The 27,412-nt window shown below is 38.3% G+C and overlaps 1 long non-coding RNA gene across 2 annotated transcripts; it reads right to left on the bottom strand.

Annotated features, from left to right (window-relative positions):
* Positions 1–166: 166 nt before the first annotated feature.
* Positions 167–25,485, bottom strand: LOC105376984 (uncharacterized). 2 transcript variants are annotated; one of them, XR_940642.1, is made up of 3 exons: positions 25,348–25,485; positions 6,085–6,211; positions 167–2,062 (listed from the first exon to the last, which is right to left on the bottom strand). It is a non-coding gene; the product is annotated as an uncharacterized LOC105376984 (long non-coding RNA). The 2 variants fall into 2 exon arrangements; XR_940643.1 differs by having other exon boundaries at positions 167–1,995.
* Between the last annotated feature and the right edge of the window lie 1,927 nt (positions 25,486–27,412).

Genomic DNA, 27,412 nt, shown 5'->3' with positions numbered 1-27,412 from the left:
CTGGGGTATGATAAAAGAAAAACTTTGGTCCAATTAAATTTAAAGGAGTTTGAGCAATGAACGATTCATGACGGGAAATCACAGCAGATTCACAGAGACTCCAGCGTAGCCATGTGGTGGAAGAAGATTTATAGACAAAAAAAAAAAAAAAAAAAAAACACGGAAATGATGTACAGAAATTGGAAGTGAGTTACAGAACAGCTGGATAGGTCACAGCTTGACATTTGCCCTATTTGAACACAGTTTGAACACTCAGCAGTGTATGAATGGTTGACATATGGCCATTGGCATTGGGCAAGACTTAGCTATTGTTAGAAGTGCACACTCCTAAGTTAGGTTTTCAATCTTGTACCTATTAAGCTAGGTTGCAGTTCATCCACAAGGACTCAAATATAGAAGTATGCAGTCCTTCTCAGGCCGTATTTAGTTTGCTTTAACAATTCCCCACTTTTGGTCATTCTCTCAATTTCGAGAGAATGACCAAAACTTTAGCTATTGATGTCACTATCACCATTGTAAATGTACTTATTTGGTCTTGAAACCCACTGGGAAACAGTAGAACGGCGAGTTTTACAAAGGTAGGCACAGGGATTGAGTAGAGGGTACCTCCTTATGCGGGAACATCCTGTTTACAGGAGAAAAACAAAACCTGGTCTGTTTTATGATCTATGTGTTTTCTTCAAGTCTTAGTTTGTTTATGTCACATTTAGCATGAGTAACTCCATTTTAGTTTGGTTTGGCCTGTTGGGGCCTAGTGCAAGAGCTTAGTTCAAAACAATGGCCTTCCATAATTTTGTTTAAAAAATTCCCCCTTTCAGGTCAGGTTCTCACTTAGGTGAGAGTGTGACCAAAACTTAGGGCCTTAGTGTCACTCTCTGTTACCATCATTTTGGGTTTCTGGTCTCAGCACGTCATTTGTAGGTTACAGTATCCTTATGGTCACTCATTTCTTTCAGCTTTTGTCATTCCTGTTGGAGAGACCATTTGACATTCTAGAGATGGCTGCATGCAAACATTTAAAACCTTTGAGAGAATACAGTGCACCAAGGAGATTATTATTATCACTATTGGGAGGATAATACCAAGAGTTTGGAGTATGCTCCTTACCCAGGGTTCCCATAAACCAAACCACTTAAAATTAAGTAGATTAAAGAATGAACTAGATGAAGATCTACTTGCTTGACTGAGTAGTCTTTTCGTTAATCCCCTACAACTCAATTTTTATAATCTACATTTGATGTATTTCTCTATAGGCCACAAGTGTTGGCAGCTGCAAAGTTACTGTTCTGTTTAGCCAATTCTATTATTTAACGTAACTTTCACATGAGAATTTAAAGTCTGTTGTGTAACCTTAACCTTCACAGTAGAATCTGCTATAAAGCCTATTATGAGGGATACATTTCTAATTATTGCCTATTTATTCTAAATCATGGAAAAAAGACCTAACAAATGATGTCCTTGTGGAAGAGTGAAGGCCTCCTGGCAATGTTCTCTTTAACCCATGATGTAGGTTAAAAGGAGTTTTGACGGATTATGAGGCAATGTATGTACCATTAAAGTTTCTCCCCTACCTTGGGACTTCATTTTTTAATCTATCTAAGTATAAGGTTATTCATGTATAATACTGGCTGCAAAGTTCTTAACAAATAAAAGTATACCCTGTAAGTGCACATAATAGACCCCTTTTCATTTCTATTGTTCACAGAGGCATAAACAAGGAAAATATTCAAAGGTAAGAGTCTCATGATAGTAGAAGTGTTGATCTGTGATCTTGGGAAAAGCTGTTCACATCAAGGATGCCATCTTCTGGGGAGAAACTTTCCTGGTTAGTTTTACTTTAAGGGTTCCAATGGGTGTACAGTTCCAAGAATGTGGAGGGATCCTTCTCAGTTGTGAGATTATGTATCCAAGGTTCAAGGTTCCAAAGTTTTGTTGCAGTGTGGATGGCAAGGAGAGTCTTTCTCTGATGTTTTCAGAAGATCCAATCTTCAGATTCTAGATTGTGAAGGGGTTAACTGTCCTTAGTGAATCATAAATGCTTTCTTTACCTGGTGAAAATATACTGAGGCATAATAATTAACTGTTATAAAACATGCATTGAAAATGACAATTGAATTAAATCCCTTTATAGATGTGTAAATGACCCATCAGGTAACCAAAGGTACCTGAAGGTTTGATTGTCTTCCCAGGAATATGGAAACAAACATTGGTGTTAAACTGTTTTTGCAATTTATAAGTCACCACATCAATATATTCAATTTGGATCATCTTATCTTTTCCATGATGAGTCATGGAATGCAGAAACTTTAATAACAAAAGCTTTAAGGACTCAGGAAGGACAAGGTGGCTGTTTTGATTTTCCATGAGTCTATGCTTACCATTGGACTTACGTCCTCTCGAATACCAATTGTTTCTTCAGTTTAGGTGCATAGCACTAATAACTAATGGGTTATTATAGGTATTTGACTTAGATCATGGAGTTCAAATTGTATATCCAAACAATTTCATTATTGGCTGGTTTAACATGAAACTCTGGCAAAGTATTTTCTTGGTATTTAATTAATTTTTTTGTTCTACTTGGGTTAGCAATTTTATACAAGGAAATTTGGCTATTTCTGTGGTATACAATACCTTAACATAGCAACCGTAATTATTATTGATAGCATATACTTAGACATATTAGAATTTTAGAAATCCTATACAATTTTGGAATATATATTAATATTCACTAAAATATAGCCTGAAGATTAAACATTATCTTTATTTTGACAATGCTTCCCATTTAACTTAACATGTTAAATAATTCTATTTACCTCTCTTTTGAATGCTTCAAGGACCCTCTGTAGCATTTCAAAGTTAGAGGTCAGAAAAGACTATTTTGAAGCTGAAATTTGATTTTGGGAAGCCTACTAAGTATGTTAAAGGTTTAAAACACTTGATATTATGAACTAGAATTCCAGATTATATAAATCATTCATTTAGCCAAAATGATGACTCAAAAATTTTTAAAAAGGCAAAAACCTTTGCTCATTGATAAAGAGAAAACTTAGCTTTCCAAACAATCTGTCTTTTGTCTTTCCCTTCTTTTTTTTTGGTACTGTATTTAAAAGGCAAACAAAAAATTTTCATTATCTTTTAATATTACACAAAAATCTTGTTCAAGAGAGAAAGCCAAATTTACCCCTTACATTAGTAAACTATTAATGTCAACCCCAATTTTTAATAAAACCTCATAGACAAATATATCCAATCTTAATCAGTTTGACTGTAAGGCAAGATTTTTATAAACCTTTTATAACTCTTTACAAATTTTTGTTAAAGAGCAGATTATTACTTTAAGAAATCCCTGTTGTGGTTTTATTTCTATGTTCAACTTATGGAAAAACTGAATAATACCCCTTTAAATTTAGTCAATATTTTCACACATAGATATTTCTTTTACAAGGTTAATTTTTACAAACCTTCCACAACCTGTTTAGACCTTTAGTTTTTTCCTATCTCACTTAAAACAATCCTTTTAACCCTCTAAACTTAGGCAAAAAAATTCACGTTCCTATGACTTTTAATAATCTTTTACCAAAAACACATTTCACTTTCTTTATATACTTCACATGTAAAACTGTTTTTTCAGTAGTTTCAAATACATGTTACACTGTTAAGCCTTAGCAACTTTTGCTTTTGGTGAAAAACCTTGGTAAGTTCAGGATTTTAATTAGATAGTAGGTGTGGAGCCTAGGACCCAGACAAAAATGCAAATAAGGTCTGACTCTTTCTAGCATCTCACTCCACGTGTCCCAGGCCTTACCTAACTGTAAAGCAAGCAAGTTGTACCATTAAGAGTCACAGTGGCATTTTACAAAGTATTTAGGAGGCCTAATCACCTTTAAATTGTACAACATTTCTTGCATACATTCCCTTTCATGAATTCTTTCATGGCTTACGTAGACCACCTACGGCATGCTTAGATTCTCTGACTTGTCCTAAACATCCTTTTTTTAAACAACCAGTCATTTTACTTTAGCTTAGGATGAGAATTTACCATACAAGATCCTTTCTTGTATAAAATCTCTTTTATTTAATACTTTTGCATAGCTAGGGGGCATGGCTAATTTCACATGTCCTCATGTCTTATCTAGAATTTAATGCTCCAAAAAGTAATTGAACAATTTTTAAAAGTCAAAGAAGCAGTTTATGACCTTAAAGCATTTAGCAAACTTAATATCTGACCTGCATAATTTAGACCAAATGTTTACACTTTTGAAGAAATTTTTATTTTACCAATAATCTTTAAAACTGTCTTGATTTCCCAAAGATTATTTAAGTCACATGAACTAAAAAAAGGCATTACACTTTTTACTTTTCTGACAAAATATTTAAGCTTTTATTTTTAAACCAATTAAAGCTCTTTCATATATAAACATCACACATATAATATATATAAATACATAGACAGCAAAAGATAAAGGACTCATTTTCCAAGCTGGGAATTGAACCCTGAACCTGAGCAACCTTTTCTCTTGTGAAAAGAGAAAGCATGGTCATGTGGTCACAAGGTCAAGCTCCCAAGGACACACAAGACAAGAGGGAAACCTCATCCAGTTTTTTTTTTCAGGGACCTGCAGCAAAGTTTATAACTAACCAGTTTGCTGGATCATCTTGAACAGTGGGCTTACAGGTATTCTAAGCCCATGTTCTATCCTAAGGTATACCCTTCTCCATTATAGGACACAGAAAGACACACAAAGCACACTACATTCACTACAGCTTAAGATTAGCCTCGTGAGTCCTTTTTCCCATTAATCAAAACTCTACAAAGGAGATAAACAGGGATTTTTACCATTCATTTAACCAGTTCACACACAGAGAGAGAGAGAGGCCAGAAGTCTGACTGGTAAGAAATTCTTACCCTCTTGCCAGCATGCCAGGCTTCTGGATTTCCTTTCCCTGAGTGGCCCTTGTGACCCAGCTCACTGCACTGTAGCCCTGGGGGCTAAGCCACAACACAAAAGAAAATTATCTTTTTCTGTTCCGGCCAGAGTAAAATACAAGTGACAAAACATAGACATTAACCACTCTGCTTAACATCCAATATTGAACTGGCAAGGCTTAAATTTGCCCTTAGATAGGCTCCATCATTTTTAGTCCAACCTCCAAATAGGAGTTTCATTATGTGGTCTCTGGGCAAGATGGCCGCTCTGAGTGGTAGAAAAGATCAGAGAGGGAAAAGAGAGAGGGAAAAGCATTGCCTATGGCAGGGTGTTGAAGGCAAAGAGCTCATGGAGGCCAGAGAAAGATCCACCCACTCATTACAGCAACACTGAAAATTTCAGGTAGCCGCTTGTCAGTAACGAAGGGACCTTTTCCAGCAGTCCCATCAGCTCTCAAGTTTCCCCTTTTGGGGAGGAAAAAGCTCCCCATGTCCCATGGTCCCTTATACATGCCTAATCCTGTCACCCATAGCTGTCAGCAAAGTGTGCAAGGCAGATTATTGCAAAGAGAATAGCAGTTAACATCCCATAGTGCCAAACTGTGTTCTTAGCTGAAAGGGACTTTACTGAGAGCCCTCATTTTAAAATGCGCTTCAAGGTGTTGTTTATTTGGAATGCTCCACAGTAAGTTATCTTTAGTAAGATTTTGCCATTTCTGTAAGACTTTGCTGCCTCCAGGCCTAATGTATAAGCCACAAGGAACTCAGTTTTCCAGAAATAAGGATCCCTCTGTCTTAAAATAATGACTTTACTCTCAGGTTCTCTTGATAAACTTTGCCAATGATCTTTTTTTTTCCTACCTAAGTGCACAAGAAAAATGAAATAAACACAAAAATCCCTGTGAATTTTCAAAAGCCAACTTTTATAACCCCTGCAATATTACTGCTTACTCTCAGTTCATTTCTGACCCAGTCAGATGTAAGAGGCCTCTACTTGGATCCAAGCCCATTAATTCCTGGATCAAATCCATTCCTGGACCCAGTCCAGTTTCTGTCATGACTTCCAAACCCAGTTTGGGTCAGGAATTTGCTCAAAGAAACTTGGGGAATCTCAAAACACAAATTCGTGGAGCACCAAAATCTGAAAGGGAGCTTACCCAAGATCCTGAGCCACTCTGGGAAATCCTTGGACACAAGTGGTCCTGCACCCGGTACCTTGTGTGTTCATTCAGCACTTCTGGGGGTCATGGGAAGCTCTACTTGAGATCCCACTTCTGGCACCATCTGATAAAAAACCAAAAACTTTAGCCAAATTACATTTAAAGGAGTTTAACTGAGCAATGAATGATTCATGAATCGAGCAGCCCCCAGAATCACACAGATTCATAGAGACTCCAGTGCAGCCACATGGTGGAAGAAGATTTATAGACACAAAAAAGGGAAATGACATATAGAAATCAGAAGTGAGGTACAGAATGGCTGGATTGGATACAGCTCAGCATTTGCCTTATTTGAACACAGTTTGAACACTCAGTAGTGTATGAATGGTTGAAGTATGGCCACTAGGATTGGCCAAGTCTTAGCTATTGTTACAGATGCATACTCCAAAGTTAGGTTTTCAATCTTGTCTACCTATTAAGGTAGGTTGCAGTTTGTCCACAAGGACTCAAATATAGAAGTATGGAGTCCTTCTCAGGCCATATTTAGTTCACTTTAACAGGTATATAGCTAGGAGTGAAATTGTTGGGTTATTTGGTAACTATATTTAATCTTTTGAAAAACTGCCAAACTTTTTCATAGTGGTTGCACCATTTTACATTCTTACCAGCAGTGTATGTTAGCACTTCTGTTGTACTTTCACCTGATAAAAGCATCAGCTTACCCTATCTCTACATCCAATCATTTATCAAGCTATCTAGCCCCTCACAATATAGGGTTTCTTTGATGTGTGTTAAAAATTCGCAGCCAGGCACAGGGGCTCACGCCTATAATCCCAGCACTCTGGGAGGCTGAGGTGGGCAGATCACGAGGCCAGGAGATCGAGACCATCCTGGCCAACATGGTGAAACCCTGTTTCTACTAAAAATACAAAAATTAGCCAGGCGTGATGGTGCATGCCTGCAGTCCCAGCTACTCAGGAGGCTGAAGCAGGAGAATTGCTTGAACCCGGGAGGGGAAGGCTGCAGTGAGCCGAGATTGCACCACTGCAGTCCAGCCTGGGAGACAGAGTGAGACTCTGTCTCAAAAAAAAAAAATTCCTTTCCATCCTCACTGCCACTCATTACTTTACAACTTCACAATAATAGCCTTAGTTGGTCTTCCTGTATCTGGTATCTCCTACTTTCTTTACATCCTCTGTTGTTACTCCAGAGTAATTTTTGTATGATAAAAAATTTTTCACACTTTATCCTTCCTTAAAATCCCTTAACACCCACCTTCCCTTCCCCAGTTGTCTACCCAATGTACATCAACTCTTCTGGTTCCAGCCTGCATCTCCAAGCTCACCTCCTGCAGTTCTGTCTCTGGCATACTGTGCACTAGCTATCACAAAACACTTGCTGATTCCTGTAACCACATGCTTTCTCAGACCTTGAGGACTTTGTCCAAACTGCCTCTTTTGCCTGGCTTGCCTTTCTCTCCTTTTGTCATTGATTCAACTCTTGTTTATCATTGGAGGCTTCAGCTCAAGAGCCTTTCTTTTTTCCTTTGAAGACTTTCTTTCTCAATAGCTCCAGGGAGAGGCAGTGCCTAGTTACCCCTGAATATTATTGTTGCACACATCCCATCATATGACACTTTGACTCTCTCTTGGACTATAAGACATTTTTCCAAGAGCAGAAGACTTAATAATCATCTGGTTGTCCTTTCTCTTTTGAAATATGGGACAACTAAGGCAGGGAAGGCACTTGTTCAAGGTCATTGCATAAATCTTTGTTCAACACCGCTGCTTCCTTCAAACCTAACTCACAGAAACTAAAAAGTTATTGTTTATCTTTTTCCTGGATTAAGAAAAAAAATCATTCCTTTAGTGGTGTTGATGGGTCCAGAGTAGTGGATAGGAATAAAGACCTATTATTTACTCTGATATTTAGGTTAGTTGGCTTCTTGGAAATACATTTAACCATAGAAGTCAAAGTTCTAAAATTGACTTTAAAACAGCTTATTGGCAGATTCTTAGTTTGCTGGGGTTTGACTGAAAGCATATTCAATGATACGCCTTTTCCGTTAAACATCCTAATGATATTTTCACTGAGTGATCAATGCCCATAGTTATAGAGATACCAAGCAAAAAATGTTCCTGCAAAAAATAAACTTACTTTCTCTCTCTCTTTCTTTTCCTTCCTTCTTTCCTTCCGTCCTTCCTTCCTTCCCTCCCTCCCTCCTTCCTTCCCTCCTTCCTTCGTTCCTTCATCTTTTAAAGGGTCTTGCTCAGTCTGTCACCCAGGCTGGAGTGCAGTGGCATGATCATGGTCACTGTAGCCTCGACCTCCTGGGCTCAAGCAATCCTCCCACCTTCACCTCCTAAAGTTCTGGGATTACAGGTGTGATCCATAGTGCCCAGCCAAAAATACACTTTCAAAATTAGATATTAACCAGTAGTTATACTGAACAATATTGTTGGGTTTATTTTACATTACTAGATATTTCCCTCTAGTTTTATTCACATCAAATATAATACAGGAAATAATGTAGTGGTTCTAGAAGGATATGTAAACAGTTTCTCTCTTGAGGTAGATTAAAATGCCTTTGAAAATCTGTCTAAGCTGTTTTCTAAGGCAGTGGAAATAGACTTATAAGCAGTTATTATAGATTGAATAGGTTTGTAAAGTCCTAAAACGTAGGCTGCATTTTGAGGCCACTTTCTGAGGGAGAATGGCAAAGGCTATAGAATCAGGAAGAAGAGCTGTTAGAGTAATAGATTTCTTCTAAGCAGTCCAGATATACGGTGATACTTTTGGTCTCATTTCATGTCTTTGTGTAGACATCATGTGGTGAGTTTTTATTTCAGTTCTAGAATATTGTTGTGGACATCAGTAGTTTTTACTGTATCTATCTTTTTTCCCCTTATTTATCTAACTCAGGCCTGGCTCTCATCTAATTTGTCAATAGCTTGCTGAATTTGGTTTCTGACTTGTCCAAGACAACCTATCATCTGACATCAAATGGATTCTGGATTCTACACAGTTCTGGTTATATCACTCCTTTTATTTGTGCCTTTATCGAGCAGCTACCATTTGCCAGGCATTGCCTAGGCACCACGGCACAGAGAGTTAAGATTGGTTTTGTGCATTCTTCCCAGGAGGGCAGACATTGCACAATGCACTGTACACTTGATGCACAAGGGGTGTTGTTAGTCACATCAATTGGAGAAAGAAAAGGTGAGCTTTTTAAGAACAGGAGACTGCATGTGTAAAGACCCTGATTTAGAAGAGCCTAACTGAAGTGTGGCAATCATGGGGGAAAGTAGAAGGAAATAAAGATGAAGATGAATATGGTCCAAATTGTGTAGGGCTTTGCAAACCATTTTAAGGAGTTGGAATTTCGCTTCATGTGTAATGGGGAAGCCAGTGAAGGGTTTCAAGCAAGGCAACAATGTGCTCAGGTTGACATTATAAAAAAAATCTTTGTTTCTGTGTTGAGAATGAATTGGAGAGGGGCAAAAGCTGAAGCAGAAGACCAGTTAGGAGACTATTATACCCATTTAAGTGAGATACCACATTGGCTTGGGCAAGTATGGGTTCAGTTAAAATGAGAGAAATAGAAAAATTCAAGAGATGTTTACAAGTTTGATTCTAGAGAATGTTATGATTGGATATAGAAGATAAGGGAGAAAGAAAAGTAATGATGGATCATAATTATTAATCTGGAAGAACTGGGTGGATGAAGATGGAATTAATCTGACATAGGGAACAATTGGGACAAATAATGAGTTCAACTTTACATGGTTAGCTGAAAGGTATCTGTGAGCTTTCCATATGGAGATGTTCTTAGGCAGTTGCATGTATGGGTGTGAACTCAGACAAGCTGGGCTGGAGATGTAGATTTGGGTAATCTAAGTTGTCTAGTGCCATAGGAATAGAGGTCATCTAGAGAAGACTGTGTAGAATGAGATGAGAAGAGGATAAAAAGTTAGCCATGAGTGATGCCAAAAGTCTTGAGTGGCTTCCAAAAGCCTACAGAATGCAAATCCAAATATTTATCTTGGCATTTAAAGACATCCATTTTCTTGCGGTTTTTCAGTTTCAAATTCTATTACTATTCCTCAACTTACCTTGTATTCTAAACACACCTAACTGTGCTATTATCCATGTTGTTTTTCAATCTGAATTCTCTTTTTTTTTTCTCTGTTTATTAACATTTTTATCTTTCAAGGCTTGAAACAAGTGCCATTATACTATGAAACCTCTCTGGATTCCAGAGTAGATATCCACTAAATGTGTAATGAATAAATGAAGGAACAGGGTATAGTAAACGCATTTGATTTACTACAATAAGAAGGAAACTATCATTTATTCAGTATCTAGTAAGTGTCAAGAATTGTGTTGAGCCCGTTACCTACAGAGTTTTGTTTGACCCTCACAACAATCTGTAAAACAGATGTTTTTCCATTGTTCCCATTTTACACACAAGGAAAGTGCCTGTGGCATTTCCATGACATCACAATGTTTTTTAAAGTAGTTATTTCTCCCATTTGCATAAGCATCAAAAAACATCTGAGTCAAGAAGTAATCCCAAACTCAGTAAGTCACTAAAAAATTAATGTTCACTAAGTCACCAGAAAATTAACGTCCTTTTTTTCTTTTCCCTTAGGTAAGATTTTATCCTATTATATTTTAATGGTAATAATTACTTTTTTCTTGTTAATGGTTTCTCCATCCTGCTTCCTTGACAACAGGTTGAACTTCACTCTCAGATTAAATCCTCCAATTTGGTAAATGACCTCTTGTTTTTCATGCCCAATGACCAATTTAGTTCAATTTAATAAACATTTATGCACCAAATACTACATGTAAGGTACTCTGCTGGATGTTGGAAGAAAATGCAAAGATGAGTAAGACACGCCACCTACCTCCAAGGGTTCTACAATCTCACAGTGGAGTTAATTTAGAAAAACAAATATGTGCAATACAAAATGGTCTCATTTATTTATTCAGCATACTATTTGTTACCTACTGTGTACCAAATGTGGTAGCCTCTAGGGTTAGATTAATGCAATATTATTATTATAATATAATAATATTATTATGTATTATTATTATAATATAATAATATTATTATGTATTATTATTATAATAATATTATTATGTAATATTATTATATATCAATGCCCTGCCTTGATATATAAAGGCATTCTCTGCAAGGAAAAGTAAAATGATAACTCTAAAGTAACAGAGAACACTCTGAATAACAACCTCAAATCAATAAACATTTCAAGATAGGCCCAAGTCAGTATCTAGAATAATGATATTGCCCTTGCTTTGTGTTGCTGCATCTTTCCTCTAGTTACACAGAGAAACATATGGAATATGTTGGAATGAACTGCAGGAATTATGTACTTTGTAAGAATAAAGAGTAGAAAATATTTTAGAATTTCAATACAGAGTGGTTGTCATCTACTGTAATGCTTCACAAAATGTAAATGTGTGAGAAATCACTTATGGATCTTGCTAAATGAGGTCTCTGATTCCATATTTTTGAGGTGGGGCTTAAGAATCCACATTCCAAGTTCCTGGTCTGGAGATTATACTTGGTATAATAAAGATCAAGTGTATGCAAATTTTATGATTGGCTTAGTGTTTAAGAATTATTATTATTCATTTTAAAGGTGAGAAAATTTGGAGAGAGTCAAAGAAAATATGAATGAATATTCTCAAAGAAAACTAACTCACTCTGAGTGGCTGGTGTCCCTTTCTGGAAGTATTTTCTGTCTGGTTTGGGAGAGGGGGTGATTTATAGGGCCCTGGCCTTAATAGGGCCCTCAGTCTAGGGTCTGTGGCAGTAGCACTTGGTGATGGGGTTTCTAAATCAGTAAAGGGGCACTATGGAACTGTATTATTGAGCCTAAATTGGGAGCAATAGGCAAAGTATGGGTCAGAATGGAGAGTCAATATATATTCTGGCAAAGAGCAGGAGAAAAGAAGATAAAAGAGGGAGGAATTTCCTGAACTCAAAGCTGCAGGGAGGGCCTTTCTTTTCTATTTTCCATGACCTCAAGATGGGACAAGCCCAGAGAACTCAAAGTTATAGTCCAGGAACTGAAAGAAACTATATTTTCTCCTTGTGCTTTGTGTGCCTCTTCTAGATACAGAAGAAAGAGAACATTCCATGTTCTCACTTGAGAATGCTGTCCTTAGTACCGAAGATAGGAAGCTTATAACACTGGGAAAGAACGGAGTCAAAATGTCTGAGTTTGAATCTAGACCTTCCAATTTACTATTCATAGGGCATTACACAAATTATTTACTTCTGAATCAGTTTTCTTATATGCAAAATGAAGGAAACAATAGTGCCAACTCCATAGAGTTCCAGTGATGATTAAAGAAAGTGGTACACATAAAAGATTTTTAACATTATTCTTGGAAGACTGTAAATATTAGCATTTATTATTATCACCAGTCACTTGGATTGGGCCTTAGCAACACACGGTTTCTATTGGCAATTACCTATGCCCATTTAACAACCTCTATTGATAACAGCAGGCACTGCTCTAGACATCGTGGGTATAATGATGAATACAAGAAGTTCCTTCTCTCAAATTACTCTCTGTTTTGCAGTAGAAATGGGATCATGTACAATAAATTTTAATATGACATAGCTGATTGTGTTCTAAGGTATAAAGTAAGAGTATGGGGGGACTGCATCATGTTCTTTTCCACCAAATTATGGGTTTGGGTGAAGGAAGTGTGTAAAGTGGGAACTTGCCCCCACTGAGCAAAAAACCTGTAAGGTTCAGACTTGCTAGGACAGAAGGGTAAATGAGTGAAAGAATGCCCTGTTCACGCTGTGCATGAAGTCATAGCCTCATCATCAAAGGATATTCTCTTTTCTTTAAGGTTTGGAATTATATATGCGTTTCTCCCAAACTTGATACAGAAAGAGATTTATAAGAAGCTTTAATTTGGGTTGAATGGCTTATTCTTAAACCCAAAAGGCTGGGTAAGTAATTGGATTGATCTGTGAATGTGTGTCCTTGAGATCCAAGTAAAATTTGGGGAGGGGACCTGAGTAGTGGATTCCGTTAATTCAGTTTATTTATTAAATAAATTATTTTCTGTTTTAAAAAGACATTGAGGAATATTTTAGGCAAAATTTTCTTACATGATGTCAATGAATCATAAGAACATTTCTTATGTTTAGAAGTTTTTTTTCAAGGCCAGGTGTGGTCGACCTGCGTGTAATCATAGCACTTGGGAGGCGGAGGTGGGATGAACGCTTGAGGCCAGGAGTAAGAGACCAGCCTAGGCAACATAGTGAGACCCCATCTCTACAAAAAATGAAAAATTAGCCAGGATTAGAGGCACGTATCTGTATTCCCAGCTTCTTGGAAGGCTGAGGTGGGGGAATCGCTTAAGCCCAGGAGGTTGAGGCTGCAGTGAACTATGAGCAAGAGTGAGACCCTGCCTCTAAGAACGACAATAAATCAAGTGACAAAAAAAAAAGAAGGTTTTTTTTTTTGGTTGTTGTTTTTCTTTTTTTTTTTTTCATTTCAAAAGGAAGGAGGGGTCATAGGGTAGATTCAAAACCTTTCAGAAAAAAGAAAATAATTTACTGAATGAACATTATTATAATTAAATAATGGAAATTTTATAAAAGAAAAATTCTCTTCAACAAATGATCTTTATTTTCAATAATTTCTATCATTTCTATCACTTTTGCCCATTTATATGGTGTCATTTATGTGGTTTTAACTGTAGAATAGGATATAATTTCTTTCTTTCTCTATAGTATCTTGGAAAGGTATAATATCTTGCCAAGTAATACGTTCAAAGATCTCATATCATGTAGATTCAATTTATGAATTTGTCAAATGCTTTGGTTTTGTGAAGAGATCTATCCTTATCCATAAAGAGTACAATTGAACTGTATTTAGTAGATAAACGTATGTTCAATTTGTTATCTATTCGAGCAAGCCTAGGCTCCTAAAAGTAACAGTAGTTTGACTGATATTTACCAGATTTTGATTTCTACTTGTTGAGTCTTATTTGAAATTCACATCAATCAGAAAGAAAAGTTGTACATGATCCATATATTTTACTTTTTTGTTGCTTTCTTAAGCTGTCATTCACTAAATGATAGAACAAAAGCAATGTTGCTAGGTGAAGCCTTGGTGAAAAGCCCATGTTCTTGGAGAAGAGCTGTGGGTGAAATAAAGGTGTAGAAGAATTACTACTACGTTGATGGTACTGTGATCAGTATAAGAACCCTGGAGTTTGAATGATCAGGGTTCAAAACCTGCCTCTGCTACTTGCAAATTGCATGATTTTAAACAAATTAGATCGATCCTCTGAATATTTTTTTTAATGTAAATATCGGCCATTTTTAGTATTATTTCTTACAGAGTGAAAAGTTGGCATTTAACATTCTTAAGACACAGTCTCTCATCAAGGTCCAGAGAATAAGTTCTGAAGTCATACTGCCTCAATTGCTGTATGAATTTGCATTGATTTCTTAATTTCTATTCACTTCAATTTCCATATCAATAAATGGGGATAATAATGTTATACACTTCATTTCATCCTTATAAGGGTTAAGTGAAATAATTCATGTAAAAGAATTTAGTATAATACTCAGCCTTTAGTAGAAACTCAATAAATATTTTAGTTTTCTAGTAGTGTGATGTAATTTTAACCACTTTATTCTTGAAAGGCTCTAATTACTTGGCTTCCCTAAGAGGAAACCCTCCTGTGCCTCCTACAACCCTAGTGACCAATTCTTTTTCAATTTCTTTCAAGGAATCCCATCTTTTACTCTGTAAATGTTGGTCGTTCCTAGCAGTCTGTCTTTGGGCTGCCTCTTATTACTATATGTATTACATACAATCTCCTTTTATCACTTTATTCATGAGCTATACTCCAATTAAACAAGAATCTATAACTTTTATGCCTGAGTTTTTCTGCAGGCTTTAGTCTTATACATATCCAACTGCCTTACCCAAATCTTCTCCTGGATATTTGAGCCAACATATTATTGGCTTCAATTTTTCACCCTTGTCTGCTTCCACACCCGTGCCATAGTCTCTTTGTGGGTAAAAGGTATTTTGACTTTGAATTTGGCCATGTGCCTTGCTTTGGCTATTGGAATATGGAGGGAAGTGATAGTATACCAGTTTTGAGCCTAGGCCTTAAGAGGCTTTGTGTGTTTCTGCCTGCTCTCTCCCACGTCTGCTATATTTATGGAAAAAAAAACCCAAACATGTCTTGAATAGCTCATTGGTTCAAGGAAAATGAATAAAACATAGAACAGAACCTTCCCATCCAACCATCCAACCCAAGACTTGTGGTGAGAAGCAGACCCACTCATTAATTCTAAATCAGAGTTGCCCATCTCAACCCAGCCTGGATCAGCCAAACTCCAGTCAGTCCACAGGTATGTGAATGACGATAAGTAATCTTTTTTTAACTACGGAGTTTTAGCATTGTTTATTTTGCATCAATAGCTAGCCAATATAATGTTTTACAGCATCTAAAACTTAACTTGCCTGAAATTAAACTCCCTTTCTACCACCCACCATAAACCTGTTCCTTTGTCCTGTATTTCTTTTAATGGTTGATGGAGTCACCACTCATCACTCAGCCAGACATTAGGATATCATTCTTGACTTTAACATCTTCCTTACTCTCTACATCCCACAAATCTCCAAATACAGTCAATTTCATTTTCTAACTAGTTCTAAAGCCTGTTTTTTTTCTTTTAAATACCCATCTTCAATGTCACCGTCAGGGTTTGTGGTGTAATAGTTATTTACCTGGGCTACTGGTCTAATGGGTCTTCCTGCTTCCATTATGACTGATCTGTGGTCCTCCACATGGTAACCAGAGTGACAGAAAATTTACCGTGTTATTTTGCTGTTTCAAATCTTTCTCTGGCCCTCAACATCAACAGGAGATGTCTGAGGTGCTTAGCATGACTCCAGACTTTATCATCTAGTGTTCATCTACCTATCCAAATTCATTTCACACTTTCCTCCCATTATGTTTATTATCTATTTATTTAAAACTATGTTAATTTCTCTCAAATATAGCATGGAGCTGCCTACTTGTGTGCCTTTGTAAATTATGTGGCCCTTAGAATGCTCTTCCTTCCCTTCTCCATAGGACAATCCCCTGTTCATCCTTTAAAATACGTCTTAGGTATCAACTCCTTTTGGAAGCTTTGCTGATCGCCTTAGACTGAGTTAATCATCTCTTCTGTTACTTGAAAATGTTTACCACTAAACTTATCACACTGAATTACGATTTTAATTGTCTATCTCTTCCACAAAACTCTGAGTACCATCTGGGCAAGGTCAGTGCCTATAATTTGTAGTTTTTAGCACAGAGCTTAATGTGTAAGAGAATAGACAGTCAGTACACATTTTCTTGGCTAAACAAATAGTGTTGTGGAAACGATGTCACTTTATTCAACTCTAGGGAGATAAGGAGGGCTGACAAGATGGATCAGGCAGCTCCCCATGAGTGCCACATCCAGAGCCAGAAACAACACTCCCTGCCCCAGAGGCCGGCTGTGTGCAATCAGGATGGTTGTGAATGTGGAGCAGGCTTTTGGAAAGGAGTAGGGTATGAGGCGACTTAGAGAAGAAGGAAGCCTGGGTGGTGACGGGTGTGATCTCTTTCCGTTATTCCTCAAGCTTTAAAAGCCCAAGCTAAACTTCCAAAAGCATGAGTGTGACTGGATTTTTTTGGTGTTAACTACTAAAGGGACAAGTTGCATCTACTCTACAAGAAAAGATCTTATTAGGATGTCACTCCCAGATGAAGGAGCTAAGGTTTTGAAGTAGAGTTGGGAGTCACAGGAGTTTTGGAGTGTGTATTAAGATTTGCATAGGCTGTGAAAGAGCTGTTTCAAGCCTCTAAACTGAAATCTCTGAGGTGCAAATAGGCTCAAGTCAGATCTAGATTACAATGTTTTTCTCATAGAGTTGATAGTTAGAGAAAATATTCCAAAGTATCTAGCACAGGGCATGACATTTAGTACTTATCAGTAAAAGTAAGTTTTCTTTCTTCCTAAACTTTCTTTCAGAGGAAAGAAAAAGAAAAACCACTTTAGTTTCCTCTTTAACTATCTCAATATAAACCTAATTTATCTACCTAGGTTTTTTATGGTTTAATTTCTGTTAAAATGTAAATGACCTGTTTATAGGGCGATATCTTAAATGTAACAATACAAATTGACAATTTACTATTTAACAAGTTCTTGAAAATAAAAATGAAGAGGAGAACTACTGTTGAAATGCTTGCTGACAGGTGTAGTTGACATATCTTGTACCCTTCCTCACACCCCCTGGGCACACAATTTACCCCAGCTGTTCCTGGAGTGACCAGCCTTGTGCCAGTGTAACCTTACCTCAGCAGAATTTTCTGACTCTGTTTGTTAACTGTGAAGCTGTGGGAGTTCACCTAGTATTTGCATAAGGATAATCTGCAAATGCACTGGTGTTAGCATCCCTGGGGTAACTCTTGATCAATGGGCATAGTAGCCAGGGAATAAATGTCTCCTGTCCCTGAGGTGTTCAATTCTGAGGCATATTCCACATGGCTTTTCAGAATATCTCAGCAGGACTGAGGCCTAGGTGCCCACAGCAGTGACCAAGCCAAGACTGCACACTTACATTGACTTTCTCTCCTTTTCTGTTTCACTCTCACTGGGTCTTCTTCAATTCTGTTGCTTAGAATCACTTCCCAAAATAACTACCTGTCTCAGACTGCTTTTTGAGAGAAAACTCAGGTTAAGAAAATAAACAAGCCCCTATAGTTTCCCAACTCATAAATAACCAGTTAAATTTTTGTGCCTTTTCTTAATTTTTAATTATGCATGCATTCATGCATGTATATACATGCAGACTCACATGTATAATTCCGTTCTGGAACTCTCCACCCACTTTTCACCCATTGAAAGTCTCCTCAGCCCTCAAAATCAGCTCTTTCAGAAGCTTTTTGATGAGTTTCTCTAATTTTTCATGTTGGATATTTTAAGACACATTATATTTTGCTTTGTAATACAGTTTTATTTTTGTTTATAGGTACTTATTTTCCCAATTATATTATAAACTTCTAGTCTAGAGGACAGAGTTCATATCCAATTAGTCTTTGAAATATCGTATTACCTGACCAAAGTAGTAAATTAATATTCAATAATTGAAGAAATACACAATACCGCCTATGCTTGTTTAACACCTTCATCACACTATTATTTCTTCCACATAATTATTTTATTACATACTTTTCTCCTTTATGAATCATTTCATCTATACATGTCTCATTTTACCAATTAGATTGTAAAATTTCCAAAGGGAAGGACTTTGCTTATATTTCTTTGTGTTCCCCATGGCATTTATCACATTTTAAATTACAGAGCAGGTATCTGGCAAACCTTTTGTTGATTCTCCACTGATATAGCCTAGCCATCAGATGCTGAGTATTTTTTTTCCCCTAACCACTTCAAAAGCAGATCAACTCTAAGTTTAGAAAATGATTAGAATCTGTATCTGTGATAGTCCATGGCAACTAAAAGGGGCTTGTCCATGAATGTCTGAGAATGGTTGCAACTTATTTCTGATGATCAATCACTCCTATTGAGAAAAATAATCAAATGTTTACAGACACTCAGTAAGTCCAGAGAAGTCAGCTTTTGAGAAAATGTAGTTTCCACTGTTAAATGTCAGAACCTTTCAATATGGGACAATTGCTTGTTGATTTCTAAACATCAAAATTCACTTGTCAGAGAGAAAACACTTAACAAATTCAATATTTGAACAATGCAATTAGCAACAGCACTAACTTTCTCCAAAATGAGATATGGCATGGGAAGGTACATTCTGTAGTGGGTGCTGCCCCTCTCCCCATGAGTGGCATGAACATTTTTAAAGATATTACCATGAAAATTTTGAGTTAGCCCTGGTTCTACTTACAGGTTGTCCATTTGCATCATGTGCAACCTTAGACAAGCCACTTACTCTCTGTACGCCTCCGTTTTCTTTTCTGTGTTACCTAGGTAACACTGCTATGATCTGAATGTGTCCCCCAAATTCATGTGTTGGAAATTTGATTCCCAGGGCAGCGGTGCTGGGAGGTGGGGCCTTTGGGAAGTGTTTAGGTCATGGAGGTTCTGCCTTCATAAATGGATTAATGCTGATATAATAGGAGCTTGTGTAAGTAGGTCTTCCCTCTTTCACTCTTCTGCCATAGGAGGACACAGAATTTATGTCTTGCCCTTCTGACTTCCACTATGTGAGGACACAGAGAGAAGGCTGCCATCAGATCCTGGTGTCTTGATCTTGCCTTTCCCAGCCTCCAGAACTGGGAGAATAAATATATGTTATTTACATAAATTACCCAGTCTATGACAGTCTGTTATAGCACTGCAAATGGACTAAGACATCTACCTTATAAGATTGTTAAAAGATTAAGAATAAGGTAATCCACGTAAAGGACAGAAATATGACAATCTGTTATTAATAAGTAGTTTTTACTGCTTATATTACTTTCTTTTCAAATTGTTAAAAAGGAAATAATTTGGCACTCATTAATATTAAATTGAGCATTTTTTATTATCAGATTCAGTATGCATCTTTTTTTTTTTTTTGCCTCTTTCCTGTTTTCCCTGTTTATGACTTTGCTATAGCACAGTAACTATAGCCACTTTCACTGGGGTTCTTAGGGTTGAAAAGGCTGCTGCCCCTCTTTGAATGAATCCTCATTAAACGTGGCAAATATTAATTACTGACATTAGAAGTAGAAGGGCTGTGAAGTACACAAAAGAGCATATTAGGGCAGTTAGCATGATACAGTTTTTTTCTTCTGAGAAAATGTGAGCAAATGACAGGTATCATAAACTCATTAATTGTTCTAATATGGGACAGGCTCACAGGTCTTGAGCATGAAAACACTTGTATTAAAATTGGCAAAACAACTTGATTAAATGGTATTGTATACACAGATGTGAAAGGTAAATTTCATTAATAATTATTATTATGAATAAGAACAATTCAACTCCAGACTCATTTTCTTTTCTTTTCTTTTTCTTCTCTTATTTTTTTTTTGAGATAGAATGTCACTCTGTCACCCAGGCTGGAGTGCACTGGTGTGATCTTGGCTCACTGCAACCTCCGCCTCCTGGGTTCAAGCAATTCTCGTGCCTCAGCCTCCTGAGTAGGGGGAATTACAAGCACGCACCACCACACCCAGCTATTTTTTGTATTTTTAGTAGAGACTGGGTTTGCCATGTTGCCCAGGATGGTCTTGAACTCCTGGCCTCAAGTGATCCACCTGCCTTAACCTCTCAAATTGCTGGGATTACAGACGTGAGCCACTACGCCAGGCCCGGACTCATTTTCTATGAGAAAAGGTGAAAAATTAAGAACAAATTGTGTAAAAATAAAACAATGTTTAAATCTGTATGCACTTCCATTTAGTTAATAATAGAAGTAGACAAGCTAATAAGTGCAGTGTTATAAAGACAAGTGAATGCATACTGACTTTGATGAGAGAAAATGCTCAGTTTAATACTAATGAATGCTAACTTTTCTTTGAGAGTCTGAGAAAGTCTTGTCTCTGTGCTGCAATGAAGCTCATTGATTGTCTTCAAAGGCTTTTAAAAAATGTAAAAAAATTTTGCCTCATAGAGAAGACAATGCAGATGACTATTAAGATTTTTTTTAAACTCCCCTGATTCATGCTATTTTTAAGAGAGGTACATGATAGCTCCTGCTTCCCACTTCTTATCAAATAATTGGCTGACCCTATTTTTGTTCTCTTTAATGTGCTTACCTCTGCAGAGCATTCCAGAATTTGTTCTGTTTGGGAAGATCCTTTTACCCAAGAGGTTTAATTAAAGAAAGTACAATGCTCACAGTCAGCAATGCAGAAACAGATGATGTGTAATATGTGAATAATACTGCCCAGGAACACTAACTGTAGGACTTGGAGGCCCTTCTTACCACTACCCACTATGCACAGATATAGATAGTCAAGTTGCTGATCAAGTATTAGGCTTATACATGAAGCTCAACAGGTGGCTTCAATTCCTGATGTGTTTCCCAGGAAACAAGTCACATACATAGATAAGCGTACCTACTTCTCTGAATGAAGAGATACTTTTAATCGTTTGTCTTCTGTCACCTTCTATCTTCATCACTGCACCTCTGACAGTGCCTGGCTCATGACGAAAGAAACAGCAGAATGGCTAATGGGTGCTGGGCTTAATACCTGGGTGATGGAATAATCTGTGCACTAAACCGCCATGGCGCATGTTTACCTATGTAACAAACCTGCATGCACATCCTGCACATGTATCCCTGAACTTAGAAGTCGAAAAAAAAAAATCAAAACGATTGAAAACTTAAGAAAAAAAGAGCAAGTTTTTTTTTTTAAGTTTTGCTTTTAGGTGACCAAGACTCACTATCCCTTTTCTAAAGATATAGTGCTTACTGTTCACAATAGCAAAGACTTGGAACCAACCCAATTGCCCATCAATGATAGACTGGATAAAGAAAATGTGGCACATATACATCAGGGAATACTATGCAGCCATAAAAACGGATGAGTTCATGTCCTTTGCAGGGACATGAATGAAGCTGGAAACCATCATTCTCAGCAAACTAACACAAGAACAAAAAATCAAACACTGCATGTTCTCACTCATAACTGGGAGTTGAACAATGGGAACACATAGACACAGGGAGGGGGTGGGGCATCACACACTAGGGCCTGTCGGGGTGTGGGGGAGCTTGGGGAGGGATAGCATTAGGAGAAATATCTAATGTAGATGAATGATTGATGGGTGCAGCAAACTACCATGGCACGTGTATACTTATGTAAAAAACCTGCACGTTGTGCACATGTACCCCAGAACTTAAGGTATAATAATAATAAAAAAAATACAGTGCTTAAACTTTGGCATCCATCAGAATCCCCTGGTGAGCTTTTTCACAGGACACACAGTAGGGGTCCTTCTTTATCCTACTGAATCAGTAGTTGGGGTTAGGCATGTGGCTTATGAGAAAAAGTCTTCAGGTGGTTTCCATGTATACCAAAGTAGAAAATCATCTGTTGATTTGGACAGATGATGCTGCATAAAGGTTTATGCTGCATAAACCTTGGACGATGTTGCTGCATAAACAACAGGAGTTTTCAGCTGCGTCTGCATAATGGAGCCATCTAGAAACTTTGAAAACTGATGCTGGATTCCACCCCCAGAGATTCTGATTTAATTGGATATTGGGCTTTGAGAGTTATGAAAGCTCCCCAAGTGATTTCAGTGTTCAGCCAATGTTGTAGACCTGCGATCTAACTACCTACCCAGCCCAGGTGAGAAGCATTTTGACCATTGAAAGTGCTGTATTTTATATGAATATACATTATCATTGTCTCTCACATTTCCCTTGATAGAACTGCTATATTGGAAGTGTTACATATAGGACTGCTATTTATAAAGGACAGCCTATATTCATTTGTTAATTTGTTCATTTATTCATTTACACATTCATCACATATGGGTCCTACCATGTGCTGTGCCTCGTCCTAGGGATTGTAGCAGTGAACAGTATATAGTCATTGCTTTCATGGTGATTAATATAACCATGTGTTTTGAGTTCTCTTCATTGACTGGCTTCTAGGTTTGTTTATATCTTCTTCTTTTGACCTTCTATCACATGTTCCAGATACTCCATTTTTACTAAACTTGTGCTTTCCTGAAGGAATAACTGTTTCTCATCCTTCTTGTCTCTGTTGTCATCTTTCTGTCTGATGTCCCTTCCTCTTCCTCCTTAACTAGCTAGCTTCCACCCATCTTTCCACAATCATTTTGGCTATCATCTCTTTTGGGAGCCTCTCTGGACTGGGGTAGATGTCTTTCCTTCACTCCCCACAGTCCCTTACCATTGGTAGAATTGATCAAAAAAGAAACCTATTATATAAGAGGAAGAAAGCATATTGCATTTGATATCAAAACAATATATTAAATCAGTGAATTCTTGGTGGTCATTTGGAGAAAGAAAGATGATATGGGTAAGATTATTGAGTGCTTACAATTTTGTGGCCATACACATTAGATGAGCCAACTGCACCATTGCATTCAACCTAAGGCGGTAGAGAGTCTAAAAGGGGCTGAAATTTATAGGTTTCCCTCCTAGTTGTTCTAGGTCCTCCTCATTTTGTGATATACTGAGAAAAGCGAAATGCAAACAACTCTAATAAGAGGCTGAAAAAGCAATGCTCTGAATAGCTCTATGTAATTACAGAAGTAATTTTTGAGGGTTTTATGCAATGCACAAAGGATAAGTCAAAGAGGAATATTTCTTGCGTGTTAAGTAAATGGTTGAATAAAGCGTGTGCACTGGGAAATTTTAGAAATATTGCAGATCTCTTTTTTTTCCCTGCTGTTGTTATAACCAGGATAAATAAATTAAATGTTTGTGAATTTTCATTGTCTCTTCTGTTCCAACTTGTGCCATCATTAGATGGGAGAAAACATAAGAACAGGGAAAGAATCAAGTCCATTGCCTTGATTGTATTCTTTATTCTTTTCTGCTACTGAGGAGGGTTAAACCCTTCCCAAGGGATTAGGATAGGCAGAAGATGAAGTCTCTACTTTTTGCTTTCCAGTGTTTTCACCGTCTATCACAATTGTTAGTTTGTTTCTTCTGTCCCCTATCCTGGATGTACATTTCTTGAAAGCCATCACCACGACCTTAACTTAATCTTGCTTGCCTGTTATGAGAACTGACATGGAGCAGGCATTCAGAAACATACATTAGTCAATATGTTCCTACTTCTACAGTGTTCATTAAAAGTTTTGCCATTTTGAAATATCTTGAGCAAAGTAAGTAGAGCACAAGGAGAATTTAAAAACCTAAACATAGTCTCTTTGTTGCTACTTCTTAAAACTTTATTTTTAACCTCCAGAGGCCAGCCTCTAAGAGATCTTTATGATTTATACCTTGCTATTACTGAGGGACTTTCTGATTTTTTAAAACAGGCTATTCTTAGGCTGTTGTTCAGTGCCTGAGGGAGGTCCCTCAGGTTTTTCAACAGACAAGTGTAGGTGAATTTCTACCTTGGAGAGGAAGTGGATGGTGGTTTAATAGGCGCACTGACATTTCCTTTTTTGAACATATTTATTTGTCTGTGAGATGGGAAGGGGAGTCAAAACAGTGAAGTGCCTCTCAAATGACTTAGATAGAAATAAAGGGACTAATATATAGACCTGGGAGAGTAAAATGATAACTTTGGATGGTGACTCAGTGGATCCCTCGTGAAATAAATTTAATAAAATTGTATGGGTTGGGGGTGGTGGCTCACGCCTGTAATTCCAGCACTTTGGGAGGCCGAGGCAGGCAGATCATTTGAAGCCAGGAGTTTGAGACCAGCCTGGCTAACATGGTGAATCCCTATCTGTACTAAAAATTCAAAAATTAGCCAGGCATAGTGGCCTGCACCTGTAATCCCAGCTACTCCAGAGGCTGATGAGGGAGGATCGCTTGAACCCTGGAGGTTGCAGTGAGCTGAGATAGCCACTGCACTCCAACCTGAGTGACAAAGTGAGACTCTGTCTCAAAAAAAACAGAAAAAAAATTAAATAGCCCATAGGTTATGAGTCTTGACTGAAAGTGTTCGCATATTTTCAACAAAGGTAACAAAGAGAAGTGGCCAGTCAACTTGGTTAATTAGGAAAGGAGGAATCCAGAGGTACTCTATCCATGCAAATAATCTCTAGGGTTAAAAAAAAACAAAACACCGTATCTTGGCAACTAACATGACCACTTGGTACCAAATGTATGTGTGATCCTTTTGTGAAAAATGGACACTTTGGATTACAATTTGGTAATAACCAAAGAATCATACAATTAATTTCTCTACCTTGGTCCCACTCACATCAAGAAATCGTCTGTGACTTGCCTTTTCTTGGAACTCTACATATTGAAAGAAAATGTGCTTATTATATGAATACTGTATTGGATATTCTAGGCTGAATAAAAATAATGCACATTGTTGTAAATGTAATAATTGATATCCTGTTTGTCCACCACTCTCTTTGACTCTACTTTGATATTTACCTTCCTTTACATTCTGGTTTTTGTGTCACGTACCAAGAAGCATTGAACATGAATTAACCTGATGCAAAAAACTAGTGTGCAATTGCCATATATCCAGTACACATTTTTAGAGCTGACCATTCTGTTCCTCTCAAAAAGTTTGTTGTACCTTTTGCGTCCAGAATTGGTGGGTTCTTGGTTTCACTGACTTAAAGAAGGAAGCCGCGGACCCTCCTGGTGACTGTTACAGTTCTGAAAGGCTGCGTATCCGGAGTTTGTTCCTTCTGATGTTTGGATGTGTTCGGAGTTTCTTCCTTCTGGTGGGTTCGTGGTCTCGCTGGCCTCAGGAGTGAAGCTGCAGACTTTTGCAGTACGTGTTACAGCTCATAAAGGCAGTGTGGAGCCAAAGAATGAGCAGCAGCAAAATTTATTGCGAAGAGCAAAAGAACAAAGCTTCCACAGTGTGGAAGTGGACCCAAGCGGGTTGTCAGAGCTGGCGCGGGCAGCCTGCTTTTATTCCCTTATCTGGCCCCACTCACATCTTGCTGATTGGTCCATTTTACAGAGAGCTGATTGGTCTGTTTTACAGAGAGCTGATTGGTCCGTTTTGACAGGGTGCTGATTGGTGTGGTAACAATCCCTGAGCTAGACATAAAGGTTCTCTAAGTCCCCACTAGATTAGCTAGACACAGAGTTGGTGCATTTACAAACCTTAAACTAGACACAGGGTGCTGACTGGTGTGTTTACAAACCTTGAGCTAGACACAGAGTGCTGATTGATGTATTTACAATCCTTTAGCTAGATATAAAGGTTCTCCAAGTCCCAACTAGATTAGCTAGATACAGAGTGCTGATTGGTGCATTTACAAACTTTGAGCTAGACACAGAGTGCTGCTTGGTGTGTTTACAATCCCTTAGCTAGTCATAAAGGTTCTCCAAGTCCCCACTAGACTCAGGAGCCCAGCTGGCTTCACTTAGTGGATCCTGCACCAGGGCCGCAGGCGGACGTGCCCGCCAGTCCCGCGCAGTGCATGCGCACTCCTCAGCCCTTGGGCGGTCGAAGGGACTGGGCGCCACGGAGCAGGGGGCGGTGCCCGTAGGGGAGGCTCTGGCTGCGCAGAAGCCCGCGGCGGGAGGGAGGCTCGGGCACGGCGGGCTGCAGGACCCGAGCCCTGCCCCGCGGGGAGGCAGCTAAGTCCCGGCGAGAATTTGAGCGCAGCGCCGGCGCTCCGGCACTGCTGGGGAAGCCGGCGCACCCTCCACAGGGCCGGCCAGCCGGCCGCTCCGAGTGCGGGCCGCCAAGCCCACGCCCACCCGGAACTCGCGCTGGCCCGCGAGCACCCGCGCGCAGCCCGGGTTCCCTCCCGCGCCTCTCCGTCTACACCTCCCCGCAAGTAGAGGGAGCCGGCTCTGGCTTCCGCCAGCCCAGTGAGGGGCTCCCACAGTGCAGCGGCGGGCTGAAGGCCTCCTCAAGCGTGGGCGGAGTGGGCACCGAGGCCGAGGAGGCACTGAGAGCAAGGGCTGCCAGCACGCTGTCATCTCTCACTTTCATGGGTCTCCATATTTTAAAAAGCTAAAGAAAGGACTTCAATTATGTCTCCAGGTTTGTAAAGCTCTTAAGCATTTATTCTCTCATTGGCTCCTCATAACAGCTCACGAATGTAGCTGGAACTGATTTTTCTTTTTCCATTAGGTTTTGAGGTGGTGGTGGTTGTTCAAAGTCACAGGACTTTGTATTGGTATAAGCAGAAGTTGAAAGCAAATTTATGTATCTTAAGCCAATAAAATGTCCACATCTCAAGTGTGAAAGAAAAATAAAATATCAGGACCCCAGACTCACTATGCCAAAGGGAAAATTAAGCGTAGGAGCTGAATCTGCAAAAACTGCCTTCCTTTTGTTGCTAGATAGCTGTAATTTCACATGTTTACTTTATCTATGTATATTAAATTTTAGATGTTGAGTTTTTCTCTCTTTTCACACGTAAAATGTGGATTCAGTGGGCACTAATCAAAGCGTCACATGAATGTAACACTTGCCTCACCTTCTACTCCACTCTATTCTTTTTTCCCCTCTCCTTTTCCTCCTGCCAGCTGTTTCTCCTTTAAATATTAAAGTCCTCAAAACCCTCTTTTGAAAAACAGGCCACAGATCCTTCAGTAACTTGTATTTATTTTTCCTACTTGTATCCTTAACCTTGGCAAAATAAACCTCTAAATCAATTAAGGTCTGTCTC

This window comes from Homo sapiens, chromosome 3, assembly GCF_000001405.40.
Source record: "Homo sapiens chromosome 3, GRCh38.p14 Primary Assembly".
Lineage (NCBI taxonomy): Eukaryota > Metazoa > Chordata > Mammalia > Primates > Hominidae > Homo > Homo sapiens.
Note: the sequence above shows the minus strand (reverse complement) of the source record. Positions and strands in the feature narration are given on the sequence as shown.